Source organism: Homo sapiens, chromosome 4 (genome assembly GCF_000001405.40).
Source record: "Homo sapiens chromosome 4, GRCh38.p14 Primary Assembly".
NCBI lineage: Eukaryota > Metazoa > Chordata > Mammalia > Primates > Hominidae > Homo > Homo sapiens.
The window spans coordinates 144,640,856-144,653,798 of NC_000004.12; the positions used below are offsets into that span (position 1 = coordinate 144,640,856).

General features: G+C 40.5%; 1 protein-coding gene and 1 long non-coding RNA gene across 4 annotated transcripts in view, besides 3 other annotated features; one reads left to right on the forward strand and one right to left on the reverse strand.

The window, feature by feature from the left end:
* On the reverse strand, nt 2,061-5,164 carry HHIP-AS1 (HHIP antisense RNA 1). The gene is made up of 2 exons (NR_037595.1): nt 4,852-5,164; nt 2,061-2,879 (listed from the first exon to the last, which is right to left on the reverse strand). It is a non-coding gene; the product is annotated as an HHIP antisense RNA 1 (long non-coding RNA).
* Nucleotides 5,266-5,831: an enhancer, noted in NCBI's record as "H3K4me1 hESC enhancer chr4:145567273-145567838 (GRCh37/hg19 assembly coordinates)". NCBI's record gives its function as "activates a minimal SCP1, AML or CMV promoter by ChIP-STARR-seq in naive H9 embryonic stem cells {active_cell/tissue: H9 hESC(naive)}" and the evidence as "EXISTENCE:reporter gene assay evidence [ECO:0000049][PMID:30033119]".
* HHIP (hedgehog interacting protein) overlaps nt 5,301-12,943 on the forward strand; it is a 99,116-nt gene continuing 91,473 nt past the window's right edge. For all 3 annotated transcript variants that reach the window (NM_022475.3, XM_005263178.6, XM_006714288.5), the window contains exons 1-2: nt 5,301-6,099; nt 11,750-11,942. In NM_022475.3, coding sequence (NP_071920.1) covers nt 5,821-6,099; nt 11,750-11,942 — 472 coding nt within the window. In that variant the 5' untranslated portion in view covers nt 5,301-5,820. The remainder of the gene's footprint in view (nt 6,100-11,749; nt 11,943-12,943) is intronic.
* Nucleotides 7,072-7,660: an enhancer, noted in NCBI's record as "NANOG hESC enhancer chr4:145569079-145569667 (GRCh37/hg19 assembly coordinates)". NCBI's record gives its function as "activates a minimal SCP1, AML or CMV promoter by ChIP-STARR-seq in naive H9 embryonic stem cells {active_cell/tissue: H9 hESC(naive)}" and the evidence as "EXISTENCE:reporter gene assay evidence [ECO:0000049][PMID:30033119]".
* Nucleotides 8,683-9,319: an enhancer, noted in NCBI's record as "OCT4-NANOG hESC enhancer chr4:145570690-145571326 (GRCh37/hg19 assembly coordinates)". NCBI's record gives its function as "activates a minimal SCP1, AML or CMV promoter by ChIP-STARR-seq in naive H9 embryonic stem cells {active_cell/tissue: H9 hESC(naive)}" and the evidence as "EXISTENCE:reporter gene assay evidence [ECO:0000049][PMID:30033119]".

Sequence of the window (12,943 nt, forward strand, 5' to 3'; positions counted from 1 at the left end):
CTTCATTTCATCATCTCAGGTTATCAACACCCGCTAGGCAGCAACCCTATCTACACAGCTCTACAAGGGCTCTCCAACAAGCATCTAGGTTCTATTAACCCCAACTCTTCCCTCGTCCTCAATCCCTAGGGATGGGAGTGGCTTCCTGCAGTAGTGTTCCCCTTTTGCCTTTTCAGTTCCCTGACACCTATTTAACTAATTCCTCATATGTAATTTGCACTGTGAAAATAGCTAGCATGGTTTATTTCTGACAAAGGCCCCTGATTGAAAACCATCTCATTCCGAATTAAGAGTCTAAATCCATAACATACCTTATAAGATCCCATGCAATGTGGACCCTGGCTATTTCTCTGCCCTTGTTTCTTGTATCTGCCCAAATATTGCCCCAGTAAACACTTTTCCTGACAATGTATACAAAATTATTATTTCTCCCAACCCCTGCAATCTTTCCCCATGCTCCCTTTTCTCTGCAGCATTCCTCCCCATCTGGTATACTCTATATCGTTACCCGTCTTCCCCATTACAATATGAGTTCCATGAAAAAAGTTTTGTTCACTGCTGTGTTCCTAGGGTCCAGAGCAGGCTCTGGCACACAGTAGGTGCTGACTTTTGAAAGAAAGACTAACTGTAGAAAAAATCCTAGAAGCAGCCCTACCATTGTGTCCATTTACCTGAATTATAACCAATCTTTAATTTTTAAAGGCTGTGTATTTATTGCCTCGCTTTGCTGGCCGTCCTTCCTCTGTGGAATCACACTTTAGTAGAAAGGTCAGCTGCACTTCCTTAGTGATGGTGCACTTTAAATTGTGTGCTTTCTTCTATTTCAAAATTTACTTTTTGAGACAGGGTCTTGTTCTGTCACCCAGGCTGGAGTGCAGTGCAATCATAGCTCACTGCATGCAGCCTTGATCTCCTGGGCTCAAGTGATCCCCCCACCTCAGCTTCCCAAGTGGTTGGGACTACAGGTGTGCTCCACCATGCCCGGATAATTTTTCTAATTTTTTTAGAGATGGAGTCTCACTATGTTGCCCAGGTTGGTCTCGAACTCTGGGGCTCAATCAATCCTCCTACCTTGGACTCCCCAGTTGCTGGGATTACAGGGGCAAGCCACTGTGCCTGGCCCAATTTAAAGTTTTTATAATGCAAATATGAGCTCCATTTTAAACCTTTAAAAATTATCAACTCAATCAAGATCAGCCACTCAGCAGCATTTATTGAGAGGCCGGTTGCTCTACTATGAGTCTAAACTAAACTATGTTGGCGTCTCCAAAGAAGGAAATGCAATTCCTGCCCTTCTGGAGATTATAATCTCATGAATATTCAACTTGCACATATAAAAACATCTCAGGTATTTACCAATGATGCACAAAAGAAAATAAATAAAATGTATCTATATGCTTTTTAGATGAAGTGCAATGCTTGAAAGGCCATTCAAACTAGAATAATTCTTAGAAGAGGTTGCTGTTAAGCCAGAATTTAAAGAAAGAGACAAAGATGGATAAGTATAAGGTAGGAAAGAAAGAGCACTTGCAAAAACAAAAGGAAATGACAAATACATGGCACTAACTTAATTAGTTACCTGGAGTGTATAAACTAAAAATCTACGAATTTGGCCTCTAGCCTTTCCATTCTGAGTTATCTATTCTGCACTTCTCCTCAAATGTATCAAATTATATTCTGAACTCAAAAGATCCTATACTTTAAACAGTGGTTGGAGTCACTTCGTACTCCTTCCAAGTCATCCTAAGTCTCAACTGAAATGTCATTTTCCCAGAGAAGTTTTTTCCAGTCACTTAATCTGAAATAGGTGTGCTTTGTTATTCTGTACCTTAGCATTTCTTTCATACCTTTTACCACAATTTATAACTGTAATTTTATTTGTGACCTTATCATTTGTCTTCTATACTAGATTATTAACTACCTAGAAGCAGGGTGTTTGCATTATTTTTCAGTACTATATACATACTGTTTAGCACGGTGCCTGACACTTAATATATATTTGTTGAAATGGAATTAAATAGTACATATTTCTGTGAAGGCCAGAAATCCATACATAAAACTGATTCCAAAACTCAAAATAATTTTATTTCAAACACTTAACAAAGTTAAATTGTCCTCACTTCTGATACACAAAAATGTATATTCATATAACTCTCTTGATATATACATATACATACAAACATAATTCACATACATGGTAATATTCTGACCTTTACCTCTGAAATTAATTTCAATTTGTGTCATATATTTCATTTTTTACAATAAACTAAATACGTTCATAAAAATAATTAATTCTTCTAAAGTAGGGAATATAACCCTGGATAGGACCAGGGTATGAGGGTGGGATGGTCCGAGCTGGTGCCAGCTCATACAAGATGCATTGGTGCACATTTTAAAAAGGACCCACATCCTCTGGGTAGACACAGACACACAACAACATAAGCTCTGCTTGGTGAATGGAGCCTGGGCAGGACTTCAGCTCCCACTTTATGTGCTCTTGCACAGGGCATGACCTATGCATAGGTGGCAGTCCTGGAGAGGGTTGCTCAGTGGTGGTGTGAGCAGAAGATGTGATCTAGCCACCCTTGGGCTGTTCCACTCCTTGCTGGAAAGGGCCGATTTGATTTGTCTGGATTATTTTGGTCAACAAGGGGTCCCTTCTTCTTTTCACCACTCTGTCGGTTTAGCTGAAGAGGAAGACCTCTCCAATGAAAGAGGACCATTTTTCACGTTCAAGTGTATGCATGGCTATCCTCTGCTTCTTCAGCCTCCAAGGGGGCTTTTAAGGTTTAATCTAAAGAAATAACCCTGTATTGATTCTTGATTCCTAAGAAATTATGCTGTCAGTCTGGTTGTAGGCAAGGGTTGCAATTTTCCCTCTGGAAAAAACAAATCAGAAGTTAGTCCATTTGTATAACACTGCTTAGTAACTGTTTAGAAATTATATCAGTAACACTAAGAATAAGCTCAAGCTATCTCCTAAGTGACCCAATTTATTGACTTTCAGGACAAACAGTATATGAAATCAATTCTAATTTCCATATATCAAGAAATAACAAGCATGTCTTATTTCAGTAATCTTTTATAAACTTTCTATATCTTAGGGTCGTAGGTTATAACAGATGCATAGTATTTTAAAACCAAAATAAATTTACCTTTAAGTGGCCTTAGTATAAGCCATAAGAAAGGCCTGTTTCAAAACTACTAACAGGAATTTATCAGAGTAGGAGCTCAAACTACTGAAATACGATTTTAGAAGGACTTTTATTTTGGAAAAAGAATATAAAACTGGAATTTGGGAAGAAAGGGTTAGATAGTGGAAAGCACCCCAGATTGGATCCGAGTCCTTATTCTCAAACTACCTAATGAGATGAAATTGTGCAAGTGATTTAAATTTGATGAGATTCATCTGGAGATCTATTAATGAGTTTAAAGTCTTAAAGTGCTTACTGCTTTCTGATTAATTTTATATTAAAAGTCCTCAAAGCAGAAAGAATGTCAGATAAAAAAAAGTATGTGAGATCCAAAGTGGACTTACAATCACATGCATGAAGAAGTCATGTGTATACAACAGCCCCTGGGGAAAATGTTAAATATGTCATGGGGGCTCTACATTTAGCTGAGGACTGGGCCAAACATCCTAGCAGATTCTTTTCAGTTATTCTGATGTGTCATCTCTTTGGGGAAAAACCTAACTTCACTAATATCCAGGCTCAGGAAGTGAAAAAGACAGAAGCCTTACCTAGCCACTGTGACCAGAAGTGATTAATTTAATCAACTGCCCACCTCAACCATCACCAACTTTTGCAATCACTTGGCGAAATCAATGTCCAACAAGTGAAGCAAACCCAAATGTGGTGAACATTCCTCCATTGCCAAAATGGGACAACTGCCTTATCTCCTCATCAAAGCCCATCTTCTGGGAAATCAGCTTCTCTGTTAAATACCCAAGTGGGCTAGAAGCGCATTTTGTGGGCAACCCTATAGAAGCTCGTCCTGATGCCAACTTGCAGGGATCCAGTAAACCTCAAGTCACCGCTCCTGATAACGTAGACATCTTTTTAGACACACTATTTACACAGACTTTGTCTAGCTGGGGAAAAGGTTAATTTACTTGTATACACGGGGATAAGTAGAGCACAGCGCTTCTGGATGCCCTCAGACTTGCATCTAATTCTTTCTCCAGATCTAACGCCTCTGTTTCTACACCCAGGGGAACCTCTCCCCAGGGACTGCGCGCGCGTGCGTGCAGGTGTGTGTGTGTGTGTGTGTGTGTGTGTGTTTGTGTGTGTTAAAACGAACACTAATTCCGCGCCCAGCTTCTCTCTCCGTCCACCTGCGGCCCAAGAACTTGTGTTCCCAGATGGTACCAGCGGGGCCCGGCTTATTCCCGAACACATGTGGGGACCTGAAAGGGGCGTCGGGGACTAACCCGCCCAAACCGTGGCAAACACTCTGGGAGGCCGACTTGGGCTTGGCCTGTGGCCCGACACACCGCCCCACTCCGCGCACACGCGTCTGTGCCACTTCAGTGGCTTGCAGGACCTCCGGCGAGGATGAGTCTCCAAACCATCTCAGCCTACTCAACGGCATCTGGGATGTCCCCCTGCCTCTAAGTCAGACCCCAAGAAAGATCTTTGAGGACTTGAGCTTCACGTTGAAAATCAGTGTGGAAAATGGGGGTGTCAGTGCGGCTGGGGGAGACAAAGGGGCCCAAAAGCTCCCTCCCGTCCGCTCCAGCCCACTTAGTTCACCCTCCCACGGGGCGAGGGGCGGGCCGGGGGGCTGAGGTGGGGATGGCCCTGGAAGGGGTCCCTCCCTTCCCACCTCCTACGGCCCACTCTTACTTACTTTCTTTCGGAGCCTCAGCTTGGCCGCCTTTAGCCCAGGCAGTGCGGAGGGGAAGCGGGGAGGAGAGAGGAGCCTGCGGGCTGCAGCAGCCGGGCAGTCCCGGAATCTCCGGACTGCGTCCCTGCCCCAAGCCCGCCGGGAACCCGGGCCGTGGACGCCCCCACCCGGGGGCCGCGGCGAGGCGGGCGCGCGGGGTTCAGCACCCTCGAGGCTGGTTCCGAAGGCTCGCGGCCCTCCCCCTCCGTCCGCCGCCGTCGCGGCTAGCCGCCCCTCCCCGCCGCAGCAGGGAGGCCGCCGGGGCCCGGGGGACGCGCTCGCGCGGGGGCCGCCCCCTCCCCTTCCCTCCACCCTGGGCGGGGGCGCGCGAGAAGCGGTGACGTCAAGGGGCGCGCTGTGGCAGCACCTCCCCGCGCGCTAGTTAAAAAGAAGAAGAAAAGAGGGAACGAAACATGAGAGGCTGTGTGAGAAGCTGCAGCCGCCGGCAGAGGAGACCTCAGCATCATCTAGAGCCCAGCGCTGGCCCTGCCTCCGCCTGCCCCGCCGCCGCCGTCGCCGTTTCTGTTCCTGCTACTGTCCCACCTAAACAACTCCCGTTACACGGACAAGTGAACATCTGTGGCTGTCCTCTCCTTTTCTTCCTCCTCTTCCAACTCCTTCTCCTCCTCCCACTTCCCAGCCGCAGCAGAAAGCCCCCAACCCAACTGACACTGGCACAACTGCAAACGGTGTCATCCGCACAACTTTATCTCGCTCCTCGGGCTCCCCTAAGGCATTGGACCCATCGCCGCGTCTTTTATTTTTTGCAAAGTTGCATCGCTGTACATATTTTTGTCCCCGCCACCTCCCTCTGTCTCTGGAGTGCCCTACAGCCCCGCAAACTCCTCCTGGAGCTGCGCCCTAGTGCCCCTGCTGGGCAGTGGCGTTCCCCCCCATCCTCCCGCGCCCAGCCCCTGCTGCTCTGGGCAGACGATGCTGAAGATGCTCTCCTTTAAGCTGCTGCTGCTGGCCGTGGCTCTGGGCTTCTTTGAAGGAGATGCTAAGTTTGGGGAAAGAAACGAAGGGAGCGGAGCAAGGAGGAGAAGGTGCCTGAATGGGAACCCCCCGAAGCGCCTGAAAAGGAGAGACAGGAGGATGATGTCCCAGCTGGAGCTGCTGAGTGGGGGAGAGATGCTGTGCGGTGGCTTCTACCCTCGGCTGTCCTGCTGCCTGCGGAGTGACAGCCCGGGGCTAGGGCGCCTGGAGAATAAGGTAGGCACTCACCGGCTTCACGGATGCGTACTTGGCATATTGGCTGGGTGGGGTTCCCTGTGGCTCTGGCAAAGCCGGTGGTTGTAAGAAGGTCAAAACTTCTTTGGGGGAGTTCTTTCCATAACTTTTCTATAGCGCTAACGTGATTCCGTTGTGTGTTCCTCTGGGGTAAGCAAGTAGCATTTCCTCCCCCAGAGTCCGCGGTCGGGATGCTGTGCAAACTTGCCTATCTCTGAAAACAGACGTTTCTGCGGTACCCGCACCCTGGGCTGGGTAAATATTTTAAAAGAATCGCGATGAACAGTGTGTTTTGGATCGAATGGGGCATTGGCTGCGGTGAAACTGTAAATTAAGGTGGCTGTGGTTTCCGGCTTATTTTTCTAGGGTAAAAAGATTTGTGCTGTTTTCTCCACGTGCTCGGTTAGGGAGAGGATTGAATCGTAAAGGATGTTGAAGCATGGTTGGTTTATGATCCCCAGCCCCGTCAGAGGGGGGTGTCTTGCATTACATTAGTTAAACCAACAGAAAGGAACTCCTGGTCCTCCGGTTAGGGACCTGAAAAAAACTGGCGAAAGATTTTGCTGGGGCGTTATTTATCACATAAAACTGAGACGATTCTCCGTCATTTTGTAACATTATAAATTCAGACTTTCAGGGTCAGTTGGTGTCTTGGAAGATCTACTCTAAGAATTTGTTTTAAGAGTAATGGCATTTACGTTATCCTTGTGTTAATAAGTTTAAATACTAACATGGTGTTTGTTGACTGTAAAGGCACGCTTGTTTTTGAGTTTGCAATATCGTTCTTGCCAGGAGATGCAGTCATGGGTGGTATCTACTGTACTCCAAGGAATCATTGCTGGCTCACATCATTAACAATCACTGCACGTGAAATAAACAATCAGGTGTCTTTGCTCCCCCTCCCTTTCCCCATTTTAGGTTTAATTAAGAATTCCTCTGTTAGAACACTGCCAGTTGTCAAGGTCTGAGAGACTCTTGGAAAACTTGTGCTTCAGTCTTGCTGGCCCAGGCATAATAAAAAAAAAAAATACCCAGGCTGAATCTAATTTTTATGCTCAGTTCACGGTAGATTTCACTCTATTCTCATGTAAACAGCTCCTACGAATCAACATATGTGTCTGGGTGGTATCTCTCACTTTGTTTTGTAACAAAAAGCCATATTGCATCATTTAATTTGCTCAAGTCATGCAAATAGGAAAAAATCAATAGGACAAAAAGGGGTCGACTTATCCTCCTCCCCACTAAACTGCTGCCCACACACAGAGTCCTGTTGCTTATGGCAAAAGAATAACAACAACACCATTGTATTTGTTAGTTGGTTCACTAATGGGTGAAACTAGAGAACATCATTCTCTTTCAGTCCCCAGCTCTGTCCAAATGTTCATGCCTTTTGAGGGAGCATTTGTCCAACTCCTTCTATTCCCAGATGAGTGAGAACTGTCTTGCTGCAGGTTTTCAGCTGCAACTCTCTTTTTATTCTTACCATATGCAGCAGGAGCCTGAGATTCAGGGAACAGATATTCCAGGATTTTATTCAAAGCAATGTCTTTAAGCTCCTGTGTTGCAACTGAATTAAGTTTCAAAATAGCTATATTCAGGTCACCTTAAAGGTTTTATCAGGAGCCCTAAAGAACCAGGAAATTCAGAGAAAAGTTTAGAAATATTTGCCATTAAGTCTCCCTTGGTGCAATACGTACTATGAATATACTGATGATCTAGAGACCCCTGCAATACTCAACTCTTCCAGAGACATGTGGAATGAAAATTTTGTTCTTGACTAAATGGTGAGGAGAAGGGGAAGGGGGATGGGACCAAGGGGAGTTATAGCCCTTAAGAGAAGTTATATAAAAATTTTTTTAAAGAAATCATTCTTTAGGAAGCAATCTGCCATGTTAACTATATACATTCCTTTCTGTTTTATGTGCTTCCAATCTCCAACAAACCCCTACTCATTTGGAAAGTGTGTCTGAATTAAGTTTGGTACACTAGACTTTTGCTGGTTCTATTACAAGAGGTTTATAAATCAACAATACCCAAATTGTTCAAAACAGAGATTTGCTATAGCTATGCATATGCATTCTTGACCTATGTTAGTTTTCAAGTTTTAATAGTTTTTAAAACATGTTATTTTATAATAAACTTCAGTGTTTCCCTTTTTCCCGTAAGCCTTCCTGGATTATAATATATGTTAGGATCTTATTTCATAATGTGTATACAGGAGAGATGATTGCTATTTGAAAGGGCCCTTTTTTGTTTATGGAAGAAAAAAAAAAATTCCCCAGAAAGATTTCTGCAGCTTTTCAAGAAACTACAGTAGTAGCTTTTTCCTACAGGAAGAAATTTCTTAGACAAATAGATAGTAGCAAACTAGGTAGGAATATTAGCATGCTCAGCTATGCAATTAAGTCCTGTTTCTAGGCTAAGAAATTTTTTTAATGAACTAGAATTGAGTTCAATTCTTTAGCCATGGAATTATGCTCTATTTTAATTTTTTGTATATTTTAATAATGTTGTATATTGTAATAAGATTGTTAACTACCATGACAAATAAGTACTGTCAAAATTTAGGAAGTCATATTATCTTAGCAATATTTTCGCACTTTCTAAATACAGCATGCTAAAAGGATCTAATTCTTATTAACCAAACTGAATCTGCAACCAACTGAAATACCCTCATTTCTAAAACTTAACTTGTAGCCACAGAGGCATAGAAGCTCTCTCTACCTTGGGTGGTTTCACAGCCAAAGCTGTCAAGGAATGGGTGAAAAGTAATTGTTTTCAAGTGTGCCCTTTTACAATCATTTGTTTGCTCTGGCTCTTTCAGGGACAAAGGCTATTGTTGAACACATCCAACTAAACAAATAACTCATCCTGGGGTCCCTTTAACAGCTGCCTTAGTACAATGATCTATTTACATATTAGCCTAAAATTGAAACTGAACTCTTTAATGACATAATCCAGCACTATAGTTCAGAGACACATGTGTTCTATCCAACAGCTGAACAACCTTGTAGGCATATGATTTTTAGAAATAACTTTTTGTGTACCAAGTGATCTTAAGGCGACATCTTAATATACTGTCATGTATTTTCTCCTTTTGTCCCCTCATCGAACCCATGTGGCTGCCTTTTGCCCTCTTTGTTTAGTTACTTGGTAAATAAAGAGAAATACAGAAGGTCTCTGTCACCCATTTTACTATTTGTTGATAAGCTATAGTTGGAGGCCACACTTTACTGTGTATCCCCTATTTATCTTACCCTTCTTCTATGGATTTTATTTTCGTGTGGCTAAAGATTAAAGGATGACCTGCCAGATGTTATAAATTAGCAACAGCCACAATGATTACTAGGCATGCTGTAATAATGTTTCGAAGTTTTACGTGATTTCTGAAGTATATTTAGTTTAAACCACTGTGATGGTTTTGTATACGGCTTTTAAAAATTGAAACAGGAAATTAGCTTAAATTTCTTCTTAAGATTGACGGCATCATCAGAAATAAAGTTAAGGACCTATATAAGACACAGACACATAGGCAAAAAAGAGGAAGAAATTACCCTACACACACCCAGACTCATCTGTCTAAAACACTGTTGCAGCTTTGGCTGAGTCAGTTTAATTGACTTCAGTAAGACTATTGGTTCATTGAAACCAAAGCCAGAATGATGGCTCTATCTATCTTCAAATAGGTATTTACACTGCAGACCTCACACAGAGCAAAAATGTTACCATCCTGCTGGGCCGGAACAGCATGAAACTTTAAAAAGAATAATATTATACTTGATTTCAGATAATTTATTGAATCCTACTTCTGAAATGTTTGATGAGAGATCTGTGACCAGAACACATTCCAAAAATTGTAAAAGACAAAATTCCTTAGGCACTAAAATCAAGCTCTTCCTGGATAGCAGCTGAGAGAGTATATGAGGATCATTTTGTTTTCAGCTATAAAAAATGGAAGAATGCATAATCTCCATAAAACCAAAGGTAATTACATTCCAGTTTTTCAGCCAGCAAAAGAGGTGCCTTCAGCATCCTGCAGTTGTTTTGTTCTTAGTGGACTGCCATATGATAAACAAACAGAATTGCTATATGATAAACAAACAGAACACAGTTGAACACTATTAATTTTAAATAGATCTGGTGAGGTCTGCCAGAGTATGGATGATAAAAGGCATTTAAAACATTCTTGGAATGCACATTCTAAGTGTGTAGTGTATGTTTCCTTTTAGAAAATTTTATCCATTTAAGCAATTGTTATTTAAATAAATTGATAAGACAGTAAATATAATTGTAATTAATAATAACCTTTCTTTATATTGTAGCTACAACCCATTATACATTTTTCCAAAATATGATAACTTCTATTGGACTTGCTGCATACTAAAATTTCAGTATGCTTGTATTCAATTTTTTTCGTTACTTTGCTCTTGCAGATTCAAATTTTTGTGATGACCTAGAATATCATTATCCCAAAAAACAGAAGCCATAGATTTACCCAAATTAGAACCTTAATTTGTGAATGGAATATTTGTTTAAAACAGTGCTCTAGAATTTAAAATGCTAATTTTGGTTGACAGTTCTAAAGAAGTAATAAAGTATAAATATAGATGAATTGGGAAAAGGTATAAAATTCAATTCCATTATGATGTTTTTAATATAAAAAATCAATACTTGATTTTGACAGCACTACATTTCACATGTCAAATATTGTGTTGATATTGCCTTCTATATAGATTAAAGGAGATTCTGAAGTCAGGTTTTTAAAGTTACTGCTAAACAACAAGACCTATCTGTCCACTAATTGCTAAACTCAATGATTCAATAACTCAAAATGGTCTTATTGAAATAAAAGACATGTCATTGTAAAAATTGTGATGAAGGTAAGCCATTTTTCATTAAAATTCACTACATATTATTCAAAAGCACTTCGTTAAACTCTTGTGTTTATTCATGCATATAACATACCTGAGGACCTAGTTAAAAAATTTTTCCTGGCTAAGATATAATGAATAATAAAAATTGGTTTTAAACCTGTTTGATTTCACTTTGGATATTATTTTTATAAAACATGAACAGCAAATCCTACTTTAGAAAATTTTCCCTAATGCAGTCTGCAGATTGAAAACTAATTGAAATTTTAAAAAAATGTAACCCAAGTATATTTTTGACATTATCATATTAAGAATTTCAGGAATGAAATAGATTTTCACATAAGACACAAATAAGCCATGTCTTGAAAAATTCTGTTTTGCATGCGATTGGACAAAGGTTGGAATTTTAAAGTTAAATATCATTCAGTATATACTTGAGGCAGAATGAAGTGATAAAGGCTTAAAGAGTCTAAATATAATTGCCTTTTAATTTTTCACACCTGAAGTACAGATGAAATCTTTGATTTGCAGGAATAAGAAGCACTTTTATGTATCCCTGTCCTTTGTTCTCCCAGCCCAGCTCCAGAGACTATACTTGTATCCTTATAAAGGCATTCTGTATTGTGACACAGTAATTCTTTTCAAAAAACTTCATTGGCTAAATTAGACTTTTCTACTTACACAATTGCAAAAAATAATAATAATAGCTAAACCTAAATTTACCTACTAAAAAAAGTTTGCTTCTGATTTATGGCTTTCAGATATTTTCTGTTACCAACAACACAGAATGTGGGAAGTTACTGGAGGAAATCAAATGTGCACTTTGCTCTCCACATTCTCAAAGCCTGTTCCACTCACCTGAGAGAGAAGTCTTGGAAAGAGACCTAGTACTTCCTCTGCTCTGCAAAGACTATTGCAAAGAATTCTTTTACACTTGCCGAGGCCATATTCCAGGTAAGAAAAAAAAATGCATAAGTAAAATAAACCACTGCACAATATCCTTGTAAGATACTTGTACTTAAATGCTTATTTACAAAACTTGTAAAATTTATCTTGCCTTTAAAAATACCTATTTTACCTCATAATTAACATTTCCAAATTTATAACTTTTACTGCCTCTAAAGGGAATATTGTAATTTCAGTCTGCAAACATTATAATTGGTTTTGTTGACTTGTTATATATTTCTTGTTAAGCTGGTAATAACAGCTTAACAGATTACAGGTGGTAATCTTTACACACGTTGGATTCTCAATCCAAACTCCTCGTTGGTGCCTTCTTTACCATAACATCAGCTTCAATATCAAGGCAGTGTCTTCTTCTACATAGCTGATACATATATATATTGGAGAAAGTCCACTGACTTGTAAGATAGATCCTTAAACAAAATATGATTAGGAATCCAAAAAGTAATATCTTACAAAGCACTTTCACATAAAATGACTAATTTTCTCCTCAAAAACCCTGTAAGCTAGGTAGGAAGAGTGGAGTCCTCTCCAATTGGCAGATGAGGAAATCTGAGCCTTGGGAGAAGTCAAACACCTTAATCAAAGTTATACAATGAGAAGGTGATAGGAGAGATATGGAATTTCTTATGCATATAGTGTCATGAACATGCCTAGTCACTATTGTAGTTTGGACTCCAATAAGCTTATATATTCATTGATTAATTTTTATCATCAAAAATTTGTAAATTTTGGTTGCTGTTGCTTTAGTTGGAAGACTCAACATAGAGGAAGAAAATAATTTAACAAGACATTCTGTTTAGTTGGGCAAAGTCGCACACAAATCTACTGAAGATTAAGCAGTATTTAAGGAAAAAACAAGCTTTAAGAACCGTAGAATGCACCAAGAGAATTTTTTTAAGTGCTATGTACATTTTACTTTTTTCTCTGACCCAGGAAAGTGTAGACTTTTGTATTTTTAATATAGCTCTCTTAATAACCTTATAGAACAT